The sequence below is a fragment of the Homo sapiens genome, chromosome 7 (genome assembly GCF_000001405.40).
Source record: "Homo sapiens chromosome 7, GRCh38.p14 Primary Assembly".
Taxonomy (NCBI): Eukaryota; Metazoa; Chordata; class Mammalia; order Primates; family Hominidae; genus Homo; species Homo sapiens.
The window spans coordinates 117790814-117809661 of record NC_000007.14 but is presented as its reverse complement, the minus strand read 5'-3'; the positions used below and the strand labels follow the sequence as shown (position 1 = coordinate 117809661).

Below are 18848 nucleotides of genomic sequence, written 5' to 3'. Positions count from 1 at the left end.
TTTTCTCAGTATGTTGCATGGTAGAAAACTAAAGCACTGAGTAAAAGAAAAATAGAAGGCTTTCCATAGATGTAAGGCAAAATCAGAATTTTACTCTGGACTCTACAAAGCCCTGCAGACAACCACTAAGATATGTGGAGGTTTTCAAAACTCCCCACAAACCACATACACAAGAGCCAATGAATTTCAGCTGATGTCACTGAAACTCATTTGTATTTCTTGGATGGGATACATTTCAATTATGCCTGTAATGTGTCAAATGAGTTATTTCATAATAAATTATTTCTGCTGGACTTTATATTGTGTTATAAAAAATTAAGAAAACACTTTGTTGTCATTGAATATATAAAAAACACTTTCCTAAAATTTTACTTCTGTTCTGCCTTTAACAAAACTCATTTCTCTTTTAGGAGAAAAAAAGAACACTTCTAGTTGGATCAAAGATTTTATTATCTAGCTGATTTTTTTTTTTTAAATCAACTTACATCCTGTTTGTTTCTGAATGACTGGGTCATTTCCAACCTGGCTGATAGTGAAAGGAAATTGTTTCTGTCCTATGGGTCCTGAGAGGCTAATATAAAATGAGCCAGTGGTGTGTCTCCCATGTATAATGGGAATACAGGAGTCCTTTATAGCCAACTTCATTGGCTGTGTCGTCTCAGTGAAGGGTTTCTCTGACAGGGAGTGCTACATTTTGTCCTTAAAAAATATTATATTTTAGTAGATTATAGTGTATGCGAAGAGTTATAATTTGTACTCTTACCCTGTGTCTTAAAAAGAAAATACCGTATCAGCTGATGAAAGCAGAAACACCAAAGTCATCTCTTTAACAACAAAATTACCTGTCACCTTTAGTCCTCTGAAAGCAAATATTTTAACCAAATGTCTTCAGTTCCCTCGCATGTAGAGTAAATTGCAGCTTTAGACATCTAAAAGCCATAAGGAAAAAAAATCCATTATTTTAAATGAGTTCAGTTCTTTAAATCACTGCCAGAGCAAATGTCTGGGAAAGCAAAGGCTCCATTAGCTATGATTCAAGTATTTATTATCTGACATCGGTCATATCTCTTTGGTAATTCTAAGACACTTGGCCTGAGCGCTGCTCTAGTTTGCCTCTCAAGGCAGGAGAACAGGGTCTGTGCTCATTCATGCGTTGGCTCCTGCTGCGACTACGAATAGGCGGGTTAACTGTTTGGTAATTTGTGTGCCAGGGAAATTTGGGCAAGAGTCAATTTGGCAAATGGACTGAGGCTCTGAAGCCACTTTGAATAAGCTAATGAGTAATCATCATGGGGAACTTTGCCTCCGGTAATCCACTTCCCATTTTGAGCCAGTAACCCAGGATGGAATGATATTTGGAGGTTTTTTTTTTTTAATCTTGTCTATCATCTTTTAATAGAATTTCCATTCTGATTTCTTTGAACAGTAGGGAGGAAATCTGTATATTTTCAAACATTTTCTTCGCATTCAGGAAGTATAAATTCTGGCCCTGAAGAAGGAAAGACCTTTTAATTTGATCAGAACTTTGAATCTGTGTAGCCAAAATAATAACCAGGAAATTCAGAGGGGGAACAATTCTTTTCACCAGTGAAAAAACTAAAAATAACTGTGTGTATTAGATACAGCTCCTTCTATGTGGCAGCGCAATATAAATAGGTGAGTTGCATGGCAATAGATGCCTCAGACAGGATTCTTAGTTTTGAGCTGGTGAAGCCAATGTTCATTGAGAAGGCAGAAAGGGCATTTGTTGTCTGGTTTATAGAAATAGTTGGCTTACATCGTGGTTCAGCATGGCTAGCAAAGCCTAGAGGACTAGCTCTTCCCAGCCAGCATCACAAACAAGTACCGTCTGCAGAGCTAGTCTGCAGCAGGAGATGCTTCTGCTGATGAGAAATGGATGCTGCAGCTTTCTTTTCACCCTGTTGATGCCAGACAGCACTGGTGCCCTCACTGCTCCAGATCCTGAGTGGTCCCTCCCCAGGTCCTTCTTTTTTGTATCACTCATTACCTATTTGAAGCCTAAGACAGGTGCATTTCATTAGCCAAGCTTAGACTACACAGAAGACCAGGAAAGCAACTACTGGACATATTTAGCTTCTACAGGGGAGAATCATAAAGTAGAGAATTCTCCTAACATAGGAAGGAGTTTCCAGTGCTAGACAACCGAAGAAATGGAAATGGGTCAGAAAAGAACAAAATATTTGTTTTGTTTCCTTGATTTCATATGCCCATTTCTTCTTACAATTGTACTTTATTCTGCCATTTTTATTCCATGTTCTCTACTTCATTATATATTGCTTACCACATATATAAATGTATTTTCATTTTAAATTGCTTTTTAGACTTTCATTCAGTAATACCATGGTAGAGAATCATATGTAATAAAATTGTCAGGAGAGGATTTAGGACATTTTGCACATGAAAGATTATTTAGCTCATTCCTGAGTCTTTTTTGTTGCATTGTTACATTAAAAAATGCATTTTGATTCCCCAGGAGCATTGCAGAGCCATTGTCAAGGGGGAGTTGGAGATTGAGATCTGTGGCTCTGAGTAGAAATTTCAAGGAGAGAGCAGTTTGCCTGATCCATGTAGATAGAAATGAGCCAGCCGGGCATGGTGGCTCACCCCTGTAATCCCAGCACTTTGGGAGGTCCAGGTGGGCGGATCACAAGGTCAGGAATTCAAGACCAGCCTGACCAACATGGTGAAACCCTGTCTCTACTAAAAATACAAAACTTAGTCAGGTGTGGTGGCATGCACCTGTAATCCCAGCTACTCAGGAGGCTGAGGGAAGAGAATTGCTTGACCCTGGGAGGCAGAGCTCACAGTGAGCCGAGATCGCACAATTGCACTCCAGCCTGGGCAACAGAGCGAGACTCTGTCTCAAAATAAAAAAAAAAAAAAAAAAAAAAAAAAATGAGAAAAAGAAGAAAGAAATGAGCCAAACCTCTGTTTCCAGGGCTTGCCTTCCCACTCTTGAAACTCTAGATTCTAGATTAAGAGGGAGGGGCAGATGAGAACTGTATAGCCCAGATCACTGAATGTTAGCCACAGCCCCTTTGAAATTAAAAATGAAAGGAAAAAAATGAAAAGATCTCTTAATATATCTTGTTGTTATGTATTTGTTTATCAGATTGAGCAGATGGGTTGGAGTGCCCAGGGAGAGAAGAGGACAGGGATGCAACGAGCCTTAAAAGATTTTGGGAGAGCAATCAAGAGTATGGTTAAATGTCGTAAGAGTATTTTGTGGTGTGGCAGATATGCACTCTGCTTTCTCAATTTATAAATGGCTGTAATTGCTTTCCTCTCAGTTTTCCACTTTGAATTAGAACTAATTGCCTTTACAGCGCTGCTTTGCTCCCACCTACATAGTTTTCCCTTTCATTCTATAAAACCATGTGTTTGGTGCCTCTTCATTCATAGCTTCCAGTTTGGGTGCTATTCTTGGAGCAGCCACCCACTTTCTCACTACCAGTGAAGCTGCGTTCATTCTTCTGAGCTCTTCCACACAATCCACTGCTTTTTGCAAAAGAGTTTGGTGTTACTGCTCCATGCAAAGTTTCCCTCGGCCCCTGCTTGAAAGTGGTTCGAAGGAGATATAAATTCGACAATAACATAACAAAGTCACCTGGAACTCCATAATTTATGTATACTGTGGTTCCTTTTTAACTTAGTATGTGGTCCTGCCATCTGATCATCTCTTTAAAATTTGTGTAGTCCTACAATCAAATAAGTGGAATTTATGGATTTTCATATCCTTTGTAGTTTCTAGTGTGGTTCCTTGTACACAGTTTAGATATTTTCTCTTCAAAAGTTCTTTAAGACATTGCTTGTGATAATGTGTGAACAAATTAATACCAAGATGACTCAAATTTAAACAAGTGCACATTCACTGCTGTTATACTGACCTGAACAATTTTTTTAAAAATCTGTAAAAGTAGTACTGGAAACTACTTTATTGATGATAGGAAAAAATATAGGAAAGAGCCAACGACTCTTGATGGTGATAATGACAGGAGGTTTCAAAATTATATGATTAAATTCAGAGAGCTTAAGGGATTCCCCGGAGATGTAATGAGCTCGCAGTGTATGCCATGTCCTATTAAATCAACTCATTTGATCCTTAGGATGTTGTTATTACATACTGTAGAGGCTATTATTATTGCATTTTAAGCATAAGTAAATTAAGGTCACAGAGAAGTTGAACAGCTGTGCCCATTGGCTTGAAGACAAGCAGTCTGCCTTCAGAGTCCACATACTTAACTGCTGTGTGACTTTCCTATAGCCACTCGGTGGTAGAACTCAGATCTCCTGCTTCTCAGGCTTCCTATATGTACTGTATTTCTTCCTTACTGCTAGAAAAGTGGAAAATCCTTAATACTTTGGATTCTTTGTGATTTTTATGTCATTCCCTCAAGCCATTTAAGATTGAGAGACACAGATTTTAACACATGTATTCCCCCATAGCTCTACAATCAAGAGAATATCCCAAAGTTTAGAGGGAAAAAATGCCTATATGATATTGGATCAAAAGACCAGCTCTAAAACTCTTATTAAATATATGATCGACCTAGTTCATGCTTCAAAAAGAGCTAAAAACATGAAGGTCAGGTATTCAAAAGACATTCAAAATGTATTAATAAAGATTGAAACAATCAAGAAGAGAGACCACAGAAAAGATTTTGCTTGAAATGGGTCATTTTTCTACATATCATGGAGAATGAACATGCAGGAAATTTTTTAAGTTCCAGGGCACATGTGCAAGATGTGCAGGTTTGTCACATAGGTAAACATGTGCCATGGTGGTTTGCTGCACCTGTCAACCCATCACATAGGCATTAAGCTCAGCCTGCATTAGCTATCCTTCCTGATGCTCTACCCCTGCCATGCCCCAACAGGCCCCAGTGTGTGTTGTGCCCCTCCCTGTGTCTATGTGTTGACATTGTTCAGCTCCCACTTATAAGTGAGAACATGCAGTGTTTGGTTTTCTGTTCCTATGTTAGTTTGCTGAGAATAATAGCTTCCAGCTCCATCCATGTCTCTGCAAAGTATGTGATCTTGTTCATTTGTACAGCTTTATAGTATCCCATGGTGTATATGTACGACATTTTCTTTATCCAGTCTGTCACTGATGGGCATTCGGGTTGATTCTGTGTCTTTGCTATTGTGAATAGTCATATATGAAATTTATAATAATGAGTTAGGACTTTTCAGTTTGATCACAGTTTGATCAGCTTTTGCATTTTTGGTAGAAATACCATGTCTGTGGTGTTGTGTTTTTCATAGTACATAAGATTCAAAAGGCGTATGATCCCCAGAAAAACAAATGTTTGTTATATACACTAGTGGTTTGAGAAACTTACTGGCTCATAACATTTATTAAAATTGAAGCCAGGCTTGGTTGGGTGCAGTGGCTCACACTTGTAATCCCAGCAGTTTGGGAGACTGAGACAGGCGGATCACTTGAGATCAGGAGTTTGAGGCCAGCCTAGCCAACGTGGTGAAACTCCGTCTCTACTAAAAATACAAAAATTAGCCAGGTATGTTCTCGCATACCTGTAGTCCTAGCTACTCAGGAGGCTGAGGCAAAAGAATCTCTCGAACCCAGGAGGCAGAGGTTGCAGTGAGCTGAGATCACCCCACTACACTCTGGCCTGGGCAACAGCGAGACCCTATCTCATTCATTCATTCATTCATAAATAAATAAATAAAGGCCAGGCTTTTGAACATCAAAAAGCAGTTATTCAAATTTAATCTACCATATGAAATTATTAAAAATCATGTATCATGATTTGCTTATATTTACCTTTTTTAAGGACAAAATATAGTTCCTTCTTCAATGCCATTTGGTACCCATTTCTTCAAGAATATTATTGGCTCTCTTCTCCCTGCAGTAGCCTTTTCTGGTTTCCTGGGGTAATGCTTTAACTCTATAAGTCTCCTGGTGCATTCTTCTCTACAACCTGATTCTCACCCTCTCTTTACTTATGTCTCTTGATGGGTTCCAGACATACCTTTTTGGATGAGTCACAACTCCCTTAATACATAAAAAAGTCATTCTTCCTTGGTCTTTCTTTTCTTTTCATTTTTAAACTTTATTTTGAAGCTTTTTAAAAAATAATTTCGATTTTATTTTAGATTTAGGTGGAACATGTGCAGGTTCACATTGGCATATCGTATGATGCTGAGTTTTGGGGTGTGATTGATCCTGTCACCCAAGTAGTGAGCATAGTACCCAATAGGTAGTTTTTCAGTCCTTTCCCCTTTCCCCTCTTTTGGAGTCCTCAGCATCTATTGTTCCTATCTTTTTATGTGTACCCAATGTTTAGCTTCTACTTACAAGTGAGAACTTGTGGTATTTGGTTTTCTGTTCTTGCATTAGTTCACTTAGAATAATGACCTCCATCTGCATCCATGTTGCTGCAAAGGACATGATTTCATTCTTTTAGTTGGCGTATATGTGTATACGTATGGCGTATATGGTGTATATGTACCGCATTTTCTTTATCCAGTTCACTGTTGATGGGCACCTAGGTTGATTCCATGTCTTTGCTGATTGTGAATAGTGCTGAGATAAACATAGGCATGCATGTGTCTTTTTGGTAGAACAATGTATTTTCCTTTGGGTGTATACCCAGTTATGGGTTTGCTGGGTTGGATGGTATTTCTGAGTTCTTTGAGAAATCTCCAAACTGCTTTCCACTGTGGCTGAACTAATTTACATTTCTACCGACAGTGTATAAGTGTCCTCTTTTCTCCACAGCCTCTTCAGCATCTATTATTTTTTTGACTTTTTATTAATAGCCATTCTGACTGGTGTGAAGTGGTATCTCATTGTGGTTTTGATTTGCATTTCTCTGATATTAGTGATATAGAGCATTGTTTCATGTTTGTTGACTACTCGTATATCTTCTTTTGAGAAATGTCTGTTCATGTCCTTTGCCCACCTTTTTAATTGGGTTATTTGCTTTTTGCTTGTTGATTTAAGTTATTTATAGATTCTGGATGTTAGACCTTTGTCAGATGCATAGTTTATGAATATTTTCTCTTATCTTTTAGAGTGTTTACTCATTGAGTGTTTCTTTGGTCATGCAGAAGCTTTTTAGTTTAATTAGGTCCCATTTAACAATTTGTATTTTTGTTGTGATTGCTTTCGAGGTCTTAGCCATAACTTTTTTTTTGTTTTTTTGTTTGTTTGTTTTTGTTTTTTTTTTTTTTTTTTTTGCCAATGCTGAAGTCTAGAATGGTATTTCCTAGATTTTCTTCTAGGATTTTTATAGTTTGAGATGTTATGTTTAAATATTTGATCCATCTTGAGTTATTTTTTGTATATGTTGAAAGGTGTGGGTCCAGTTTTGCTCTTCTGCATAGGACTATTTTGAAGCTTTTAAAAGAAATCCTTCCTCATATTCAAGTGATTACTATATCTGTTTCTTATATAATTGTAATTTTCCTGTATTGAATCATCATTCTCAGTAAACTATCGCAAGAACAAAAAACCAAACACCGCATATTCTCACTCATAGGTGGGAATTGAACAATGAGATCACATGGACACATGAAGGGGAATATCACACTCTGGGGACTGTGGTGGGGTGGGGGGAGGGGGGAGGGATAGCATTGGGAGATATACCTAAGGCTAGATGACGAGTTAGTGGGTGCAGCGCACCAGCATGGCACATGTATACATATGTAACTAACCTGCACAATGTGCACATGTACCCTAAAACTTAAAGTATAATAAAAATAAAAAAATAAAAAAAATAAAAAACATTTTCCAAACTTTTAATTTTTATATAATTTGAACCTTACAGAAAAGTTGCAAGAATAGTACGGTATCAGCATTCTTTACCCAGATTCACAGTTGTTTATATTTTATCTAATCTGCTTTATTTTTTCCTTCTCCTTTACACACATACATGCGTGAGCGCACACACACAGATGTTTTTTCCAAACCATTAGAAAATAAATTAAAGACATATGGTTTTTTACTCCTAAATATTTTGATGTATATTTACTAAGAATAAGGACAATCTCTTACATAATCACCATACAGTTTTTTAAAATGAGGAAATTTATAATTGAAACAGCATTTTTTCTAATCCACATATTCATTTCCCCCCAGTTGTTCCAATAATGGTCTTTGTAGCAATTATTTTCCCAATTCAAGATCAGGCATTGCGTTTAATTGTTATTTTCTTTAGTCTCCTTTAAGCTGCAACAGCTCTTCAATCTTTCTTTGCTTTATTTACCCTGATATTTCTGAAGAGCATGGGCTAGGTATTTTGTAAAACGTCACTCAATTCAAGTTTGTCTAATGTTTCCTGATGATTTTATTCAGCTTTTGCATGTTTTCCTCACTGTTTAGTTGTTATTGTTCCTTTTGTATTAATAACTAATTTGTGGAGAAATATGTTGATATTCTTTAAATATCTTATTCATTAAATGTTCACCTGCTAGTTTTAGAATCCACTGATGATTTTTCAACCCCATTATTCCTTCTGCATTTTTTATGTGGCATTCTACTGTAAGGAAAAGCTTTTCTTTCTCCCCTGTTTACTTGTTTATTACATCAGTGTGGAGTCATGGATGCCTATTTGATGAGTTCAAAACTTACCATCACTATCTGTCCCCGATTTGGCCACTGGGAGCCCTCTTAAGCTGGCTTCTTCTATATATTCTCATCATTTTTTAGCACTTGCAGCAAGATACTCCAGGCTCATTTTGTGTTTTCTTTAATCCAATGCTTGGAATTAGGTATTTCTTCCAGGAGCACTGTTTCCTATTTAATGGGAGATGGTACTTAGCAACAAATCTGGAGCTAGGAAATTACATATATTTATCATATTCATATGTACACAAAACATAGCTATATATCTTGTCTGTCTCTCTATGTATCAAGCTGTCAGTATACTGACACTGACATTCCTGAATCTAATTCCAAGCCATAGAGTATATGCCAGTCCTTTTTCTATTTATGACTCCTTTTTTCCACCAGTGAGAAACCCGATTTTCACTGTACTTCAGTATATTTACTCATTTACTGAAGCGTGGAACACACAGAGTAGTTTCAGAATTACTTACTCATACCGCTGTATAAGGCCAAAATGAAAACCTGGAATTCAAAATTAGTTTACAGATTCTTAAGGAAAAGTTTACAGGAAGTACAATTCACATATCTTAAGTCTAAAAATTAATGAGTTTTGAAAATGCATACATGTGGGTAATCTGTGCATCCCCCACCCCACCAACAAGATATAGAATATTTCCATCACCACATAAAAAGGTTCCTGCAGTACCTACCCAATAAGTCCCTCCCCCAACTCAGGAAACTGCTGAGCACTATTCTGATTTTTTCATCATGGATTAGTCTTACCTATATTAGAATTTTAGGTAAACGATGACTATTGTTTTAATAGTTAGCCTTAAATTCAGGAGCTGTTAGTCTTCCAGCTTTGTTTGCTTTATCTAAATTGTTTGGCTAGTCTAAATCCTTTGGGCTTCCCTACAAAAAAAAAAATTAAAGGCAATTTGGCTTCTCCAAAAGTTTGCAGGGATCAAAATTTCATTGAATCTATAGACTAATTTTGTGAGAACTGACATCTTAGTAAAGTAGAGTCTTCCAACCCATAATTATAGTACATTTCTCCATTTATTTAGATCTTTAATCTCTTAGCAACATTTGGCTTCTATCAGTGTGGTGGTCTTAGAAGTCATTTGTTGCTGTTACTCATATTTTATTTTTTGATGCTATTGTAAATAGCATTATTTGTTTAAGAATTTCAAATGTTTGTTGTTAATGTGCAGGTATTCAATTGACTTTGTATGTTCACATTGTATTCTGTAATCTTGCTATATTACTTAAATAGTTCTAGCCATTATTTTGTATATTCATGATTTTCTAGGTTAAAAATATAAAATATATGATCTATAGAGAACATTTTACTTATTCCTTTCCAAATGATTTGCCTGCCTGCCTTTTTCTTCTTCCCCACCACTGCCCTGGAATTATTGCAGTGACTAGAACCTCCAGTGCAATGTTGAACAGAAGTAGTGAAAGTAGACTTTATTGTCTTTTTCTTAGGGAAAAAATATTTCATGTTTCATCATTAAGTACAATGTTAGCTGTGCTTTTCATAGATGCTCTTTATCTCATTTGAGGTTTCATTCTATTCTTTGTTGGAAGGTTTTTTTTTTATCATGAATGGTTTTGATTTAAAAAATAGTTTATTTGCATTTGTTGACATAATCCTGGTGTTTCTCTTTTATCTTTTAATATATTGAGTTACACAGATTGATTTTCAAATATTAAACCAACTTAGACCCCTAAGGTAAATCTCACATGGTCACCTTTTTATTACTTTTTTTATATATTGGTGGATTTCATTTGCCTATATTTTGCTAAAGAGTTTTGTGTCTGTGTCCAAGAGAGATGTTTTCTCTGTAAATTAAAAAAAATTTTTGTTTTGTATAAAGGTAATTTTTTGTTCACAAAGTGAGTTGGAAGTCTTTTCTATTTTCTGAAAGGGTGTAAGTTTGGCATCATTTTTTTTTTCTTTAATGTTTTCTAGAACATCAGTACAGCCTTATAAGCTAGGAGTTTTCTTTGGGAAGAAGTTTTTAATCGTGAATTTAGTTTCTGTTAAAAAAATATAAAGCCATTCCAATTTTCTATGTCATTTTGTGTAATTTCTGAAAGTGTAGCTTTCAGAGGATTTTTTAATTTATTGAACTTATTGGCACAAAGTTATCCTTTTAATATTTCTTTAATCTGTAGTGATATCCCCTCTTTCATTCCTGTTATTTGTAATTTGTGTTTTTCTCTATTTCTAAATCTGGTTTTCTACATATTTAGCAATATTATTAATCTTTTAGATACAATTTTTGGCTTTGTTAATTTCTCTATCATTTATTTCTTCTGTTTCATCAATTTCTTTGGTATTTGATTCCTTCTACTTTGGATTTACTTTGTCCATCTTTTCCTAGCTTCTTAAGGTGAAACTAGGATGATTGATTTGAGGCAGCTCTTCTAAAGTAAACATTTAAAGCCATATCGGCCTTAGCTGCTTTTAGATGCTCTGCTTTCAGAGTCCCACAAATTTTGGTATGCTGTGTTCTTGTATTCATTCAGCCCCAAATATATTCTAAATTACTTTGTGATTTCCTCTTAATCCTCTTTACTATTTAGCAATATATTGTTTTATTTTTGAATTTTGAGGTTTTCTTAATATCTTATGATTTATTTCCAGTTTAATTCTGCTTTAGTCAGAGAACACAGTCTATAAGATTTTAGCCTTTCGAAATCTATTGGTTTGGTAGTTCTCAATAGCTCAGCAAGTACGTTTGAAAAGAATATCTTTTGTAGTTTTGGTATATTCTACCCTATAAATATCAATGGCCAGGTGATTTTTATAGTGTTTTCAGATATACTATTTATATTCTTGCTGAGCTTTTTAATCTAGGTTTTTTAAGTGAGATATTGTTATTATTGTAGATTTGTCTATTTTTCCTGTATTTCTGTCAGGTTCTGCTTTGTATATTTTAGAGAAAATTATCACCATTGCCATCATTTATGTTGCAGATTCTCTGTACGTAATATGTCTTTAATTTTTTGGCTGATTTCAAGATTATTTGTCTTTGTTTTCAGCAGTTTTACTATGATGTGCCTAGGTATAACTTTATATTTTTCTGCTTTGAAATTGCTGAGCTTCCTGGATTTGTAAGTTTGCCTTTTTAATCAAATTTGTAAATTTTGGGGCCATTTTTTCTTCCAAGATATTTTTCTTCTGCATTCTGTCTTTTTTCTCTTTTTGGAACTCCAGTTCATGGAATTTAAACCAGTTTGTATTGCCCTAGATATAAATAAGATGCTGTTCAATGTTTTCAATCTTTTTTTCTATGCTCTTCAAATCGAATACTTGCTTTTGCTTTATTTTCAAATTAATTATTATTTTTCTTCTGCTCTCTCAAATCTGCTATTAAGCCCATTCAGTGAACTTTTTGTCAGTTTAGATATTACACTTATCAGTTCTGTTTGTACATTTGGTTCTTTTTTTATAGTTTTTGTTTGTATGCCAGGATTCCCCTTCCCCTCATTTATTATGACCATATTTTCTTTGAAAATGGCTGCTTTAAAATCCTTGTCACTAATTCCAGCGTGGATCATCTTGGGCCGGTTTTTATTGACTACTTTTCTCTAGACTAGGATTCACTTTTTCTTAATTTCATTGTCTAGTAATTTCTTATTGTATACTGAACACTGAGGATGATATGATATGTTGCAGACTCTGGATTCTGTTACCTGCTGAAGAGCTGTACTTTGTTCTAGTAAACAGTTAACCTGGTTAGATTCATATTCTGTCTCCTTGCAGTTGGCAGCATCTGAGGTCTTTGCTCAGCTCTGTCAGACATTCAGCAGCCACCTTCTGTCATTCTGTGGGGTCTGCCCCATGAATGTGTAATTCAAGGATCAAACAAGGATGCTGGTAAACCGTGGCAACCTCAGTTTCATCCTCTGACTCCTCAAGCCCATATCACCAGTGCATTGTACTTGAGTTTCAGCTGCCAGTGCTACCAGAATAGGGAATTGCCTCCAGCTGAGCAGCTACATGAAGGCAAATCTCATCCAATGCTATTGGCTCCTTTCTTACAGGAGGGTTTACTCTTCTCTCATTTCTACCTCTTTTATTGCTCTCAAGAGCCTTTAAATCACTATGTTTTATATGTTTTTCAAGGGGTTATAATTATTATCTGCAGGAGAATTAGTCTAATAACCATTGCTTCTCCATTACTGGTAGCAGAACTTTCTCTGATATATTTCATAATTGCTAAATTATAACCCCTATCTAACTTATAAAAACATTCATCTACATGTTTAATATGGTGTATTCTCTAGATTTTTGTATGCCTCTAGTGTGTTTTCAGAGGAAGAAATATAGTGCAAAGTCACACACACATTTTAAAATAATACAAATAGTCTGTTGTGTTATGAATTGAAAACTTAGTATTTTTTAGTGCCGGGCACTATGCTATGTGATTTACACGTGTTGTCTTATTTAAAACCATAAAATAACATAATTAGGATCATACAGAACCAATTTTTAGAGAACTTACAAAGGTCACACAGCTAGTAAGTTCGGGATCAGAATTTAGTACTACATCTCTTATTCTCTTAAGTACACATAATTTGTCTCTGAGCTGAAATGGTCAAAGATTTTTTAATATAAAAATTATTTTTAAAGTATGGGAGTATGTTATTTTGTACTACATCTCTTATTCTCTTAAGTACACATAGTTTGTCTCTGAGCTGAAATGGTCAAAGATTTTTTAATATAAAAATGTTTATGTACTGTGCTTATATAATGTGATTGGAAGTCTCCTGTAGAGAAAAAGGTGTTTAATATTTTAAAAAGAGCAACATAATAACTGACGGAGTGAGTCCCAGAGGTGACGGGAGAGAATGAAGTTAAGTGCTGAAGGAAAGTCCAACACTGAGCAGATGGAAACCTTTCCCCCTTAGATTGAAGGGAAGGAAATATAGATTGGTGTTGCTATGAAAAAGCTTAAAGGAGGAGATAGGATGAAGAGGGGAAGTGAGTGAGTTTGAATGTTTTTGATAAAGGAGTCTGTAAAGAGAGACTAAGTCAGTTGAGTGGTCACTGGGTGAAGATTTGGGGAAAGGTAGAGGTTTGAAATATCCCCTGTAGTAAATGGCAGAGGAAGCTAAATAAAGTTAGGTAGAGTGATTGATGATTGGGAGTCAGAGTTTGAGTTTAGAGCCATGTGTTTATAGGTATATCAATTGTGAGGTTTCCTCTGTGCTCTGCTCTCTGCGGTAAACTTTTATTAAGACATGTATTAGTTTGAGATAGGATTTACAAAGCACAAGTGATGGAGGACAAAGATAGAAAAGAATTACAGATGCTTTTATAATAGTATAGTTTTCTCTATAAATATTTGAGATTAGCTGAATTGCTCTCCACTTGGAACTCCTTCTCAATTTGATTCTGAAAGATGATGATCCATAGTGCAGAATTACTGTGGACAAGATGTGAGATACAGTGAGAAAAACCTGAGACAGGTAGAACCCTGAGTGATTGCCATGACTGACACTCATTAGCTGGATGACATTAGGAAAAACACTAATATGGCCTCTAGTTATTGTTTTGTAAAAATGAAGGTAGCTCTTAAAATTCTCTACCTTCAGAGGCAAATGATGAAATTTGTATTTTAATAGCGGAAAACTGGCCTAGTTTATGTTTTTCTTACATTGCTGTAAGAATTTTTTTTTGTTGGGGTTAGTATAAAATACGATTTAAATTTTCTTAATAGTTCTAACTTTGCATATGCCTTCTAATACCAGTCTGTTATTTGGTGCATCTCAGAAGAGTTCAATGTGTTTTAGTTAATAATATGTCAAATTTGTGCAAGGCTCCCACGTGAATAAGATATACATATAAAAACAGTAGGCCGGGCGCGGTCGTCACGCCTGTAATCCCAGCACTTTGGGAGGCCGAGGCGGGTGGATCATGAGGTCAGGAGATCGAGACCATCCTGGCTAACAAGGTGAAACCCCGTCTCTACTAAAAATACAAAAAAAATTAGCCGGGCGCGGTGGCGGGCGCCTGTAGTACCAGCTACTCGGGAGGCTGAGGCAGGAGAATGGCGTGAACCCGGGAAGCGGAGCTTGCAGTGAGCCGAGATTGCGCCACTGCAGTCCGCAGTCCCGCCTGGGCGACAGAGCGAGACTCCGTCTCAAAAAAAAAAAAAAAAAAAAAAAAAAAAGATATACATATAAAAACAGTATATGACAACACTATTGTTCCCCAGTCTTACCTAATCTACTTATGAATTACTCCCAAAATTTTATCCAGTAGAATAAAGTATATATGTAATTAAGCTTGAGGAATAATCTATATTCCTGATTATCTATTTATGGGACACATCCCAATGCTATTTAGCAATTGTTTGTCAAAGCAGGAAGCATCCCAGAGTAAAGAAACACTATCTCTCACCATTAGTTGTATAGCAAGCCATTTTCTCCTTTTGGTCCCATGACTGACTGTGAGGGGAAAGGAGTCGTGGATTTTTGTAACAGGGTAAGAAACAGGAACATCGTCAGGACTTACAGATCATGAGAGTATCTTCCTTTGTTATTGATGACAAAAATTTGACTCAAATAAGTAGTGACTCTCTTGGGAGGATATTTGTGTTTAACATCTACAGGAGAAAACAAGTCCTATCCACATCTTTATAATCAGGTAGATGTACTTTAACCTTTAGGAACCATAAGGCCCATTATGGACCGCCAGTGGAACATTTCACTAGTTGGGGAAGTGAGGCATGTAGGCCAACCTGGCTTCTGTATCCCAGCTTGGGGTGAGTCCTTTGTCCTTCATGAGCCCCTCATGACAGATGCTTCCCTAGACAGAAGTGAGAAATTTGCAGTAACATGTTAGACTAGTGCCACTGTGAGGCTGCCCACTTAGCCAGAAAGCCCATCAGTAACGGAAGTTGATTGTTATCAGTGGAACTATGTTAATTTCAGCTCATTCATTCAATATACAATTTATTAAGCACCACTGTGTGCCAGCCACTGTTCTAGGTCTTAAGGACACAGTCCCTGCCCTCAGTAAAGTCATACTTGGGGTGAGGGGGGGTGCAGGCAGGTAGTGAACAAAGGTTGATAAACACAAGGGTGGGAGTTTATCAACTGTTATTTCCCACAGGGTGGTGAGGGAAGGCCTCATTGTAAAGGTGACAGCTGAGCAGAAGTCTGGAAGAAATGAACAAGCCAACCTCTTGTGCTATTGGGAGCTTTTGTGTATATTAGAAAGCCCCATCTGGAGAAAGAAAGGCTTTGAAAGCTCCCTGTCTAGGCTGATCAGTTAGAAAAATGATTTCACTCTGGAAAGCACCAATCCTAAGGGCCTATGGCTTGGTGAACAGACAGTGCCTTTCTGTGAAGGAAAAGGCACCCCTGTCTTCATGCCTGGGCAGGCAGCTGGGTGAGTAGGGAAATCCAAGGAAGGGAGAGAGGGCTGGAATTTTGCTCCTACTCACCCTCCCACAGGTCACTCTTGTGCCATGCGCACATGGCTTACTGCAGGAGCGCTACGGGAAGGTGTGTGGTGGGAATCCCATGCAGAGAGAACAGCAAGGACAAAGACCCCGAGGCAGGACCATGTTTAGGAAACTCCGGGCATCCAGCGAAGCTAAGGGAGTAAGCAGGATCAAAGTAGGAGACAAGGTCAGGCTCCAGGTTCACTGACACCAAATGTAGTTCTAATAAGATCGTTCTTTAGCTCTTTAGAGTTTTCAAAGAACTTTCTTTCATATATAATTTTATATGATTTCCACAACAACTCATCATAGGAAGCTCAAAGATGTTACATTACTGAGATAGGTAATACAATTAGCAAACATGGGGGCTTAGAATTTAACTGAAGTCCTCGGTTTTCAGTACTTTTCATGATACTTTACCTCAGAGATTAATAATTTTAAAGCATTAAACCTTTTTTAAAAATATCACCAATTCCATCACAGAGCTGTGTTTTTACAAAAATAGACCTTTCTGATCCCTGTGCTGTGATTTAAAGCATCTGGTTATTGTTCTCTTTTTCTGTAGTTAACTTCAATAGACTTTAAAAATTCTCTATTGTTGTAATTTAGATGTCTTTATAAAGCCATTTACGTCTATTTTCTCATTTTAATGTGTCTTTAAAATATTTCTTATCACAACACTTTTTGAAAATGTGGCGTTTTTGCTAACCCGAGTTATGTAATTGTTAGAAAATTAATAAAAATCTCACAAAAAGCATTTCCTTGGTGAAAAGAAAATTCTGTATATTAATCAGGGTTTTCCTGTGAATTTCTTTCAGCTGGAAATGGAGAAGCTTCAGCTACAAGCCCTTGAGCAAGAGCACAAGAAGCTGGCTGCCCGCCTTGAGGAAGAGCGTGGCAAGAACAAGCAGGTGGTCCTGATGCTGGTCAAAGAGTGCAAGCAGCTCTCAGGCAAAGTCATAGAGGAGGCCCAGAAGCTCGAAGACGTAATGGCCAAACTGGAAGAGGAAAAGAAAAAGACGAATGAATTAGAAGAGGAACTCTCCGCTGAGAAACGAAGAAGCACAGAAATGGAAGCTCAGATGGAAAAACAACTCTCTGAGTTTGACACTGAGCGGGAACAGCTTCGTGCCAAGCTGAACCGGGAAGAAGCACACACCACTGACCTCAAAGAGGAGATAGACAAGATGAGGAAAATGATTGAGCAACTGAAAAGGGGAAGTGACAGCAAACCAAGCCTCTCTCTTCCACGGAAGACAAAAGATAGGCGTTTGGTTTCCATATCTGTGGGAACAGAAGGAACTGTGACAAGGTCTGTTGCATGCCAGACAGACCTAGTGACAGAAAATGCTGACCACATGAAAAAGTTGCCTTTAACCATGCCTGTAAAACCTTCCACAGGGAGTCCCCTAGTTTCTGCAAATGCAAAAGGGAGCGTGTGCACCAGTGCCACCATGGCCAGACCAGGTATTGACAGGCAGGCTTCCTATGGTGACTTGATTGGCGCTTCTGTACCCGCTTTCCCACCTCCAAGTGCAAACAAAATTGAGGAAAATGGACCAAGCACTGGCTCAACACCAGATCCAACCAGTAGCACACCCCCACTTCCCAGTAACGCTGCCCCTCCCACCGCTCAAACACCAGGCATAGCTCCTCAGAACTCGCAAGCTCCACCTATGCACAGTTTACATTCACCATGTGCCAACACCTCTTTGCATCCAGGTCTAAACCCACGAATCCAAGCAGCTAGATTTAGATTTCAGGGCAATGCTAACGACCCAGACCAAAATGGAAATACTACCCAAAGTCCTCCGTCAAGAGATGTCTCGCCTACAAGTCGTGACAACCTAGTGGCCAAACAACTAGCTCGGAATACTGTGACCCAAGCACTGTCAAGATTTACAAGCCCTCAAGCAGGTGCTCCCTCAAGGCCTGGAGTGCCCCCAACAGGGGATGTTGGCACCCACCCTCCAGTTGGTCGGACCAGTTTAAAGACTCATGGTGTAGCACGAGTTGACAGAGGAAATCCTCCTCCTATCCCTCCAAAAAAGCCAGGGCTCTCCCAAACTCCTTCTCCACCACACCCCCAACTCAAGGTTATTATAGACAGCAGCAGGGCCTCGAACACAGGGGCCAAAGTTGATAACAAAACTGTGGCTTCGACTCCTTCCAGTTTGCCACAAGGGAACAGGGTGATCAATGAGGAGAACCTTCCTAAGTCATCCTCCCCTCAGCTGCCACCAAAACCATCCATAGATTTAACTGTGGCACCTGCAGGCTGTGCCGTTTCAGCCCTGGCCACGTCTCAGGTGGGTGCCTGGCCTGCTGCAACCCCCGGACTGAACCAACCTGCATGTTCAGACAGTTCCCTTGTCATTCCTACCACCATTGCCTTTTGCTCTTCCATAAACCCCGTTAGTGCCTCATCCTGTAGACCAGGTGCCTCAGACAGCCTCCTGGTAACAGCATCAGGTAAAGGGATTGAAATGTTATACGCTTTTTAAAGAATATGGCCTCTCTTCTCACTTGCCTTGATTTTCTTCACATTGCCTTGAAACTTTTTTTTTAAATTTGATGCTTCCCCCCACCCCCATTTCTTTTCTTTCTCTCTCTTTTTTTGTATTTTTTTTAAAGGCTCCAGGGTATGGTGATTCATCTTGCTATATGAATTGCGGTTTCGCTATGCTAAGTGCTTTCTTCATTTAAGATAACCTGAAAGTAGTGGCTTAAAGCACATGGAGACCATTAATTTAGAGAGACTAAAATATTTACATGGGAGAAAAGAG

The 18848-nt window shown here is 37.7% G+C and overlaps 1 protein-coding gene across 12 annotated transcripts in view; it reads left to right on the top strand.

Annotated features, from left to right (window-relative positions):
* Positions 1–18848, top strand: part of CTTNBP2 (cortactin binding protein 2) — a 162791-nt gene that overhangs the window by 63780 nt on the left and 80163 nt on the right. For 10 of the 12 annotated variants that reach the window (NM_033427.3, XM_024446964.2, XM_024446963.2 and 7 more), the window contains exon 4: positions 16881–18534. In NM_033427.3, the coding sequence (NP_219499.1) occupies positions 16881–18534 (1654 nt within the window). The remainder of the gene's footprint in view (positions 1–16880; positions 18535–18848) is intronic. The other 2 variants (NM_001363351.1, NM_001363350.1) reach the window with 1 other exon arrangement.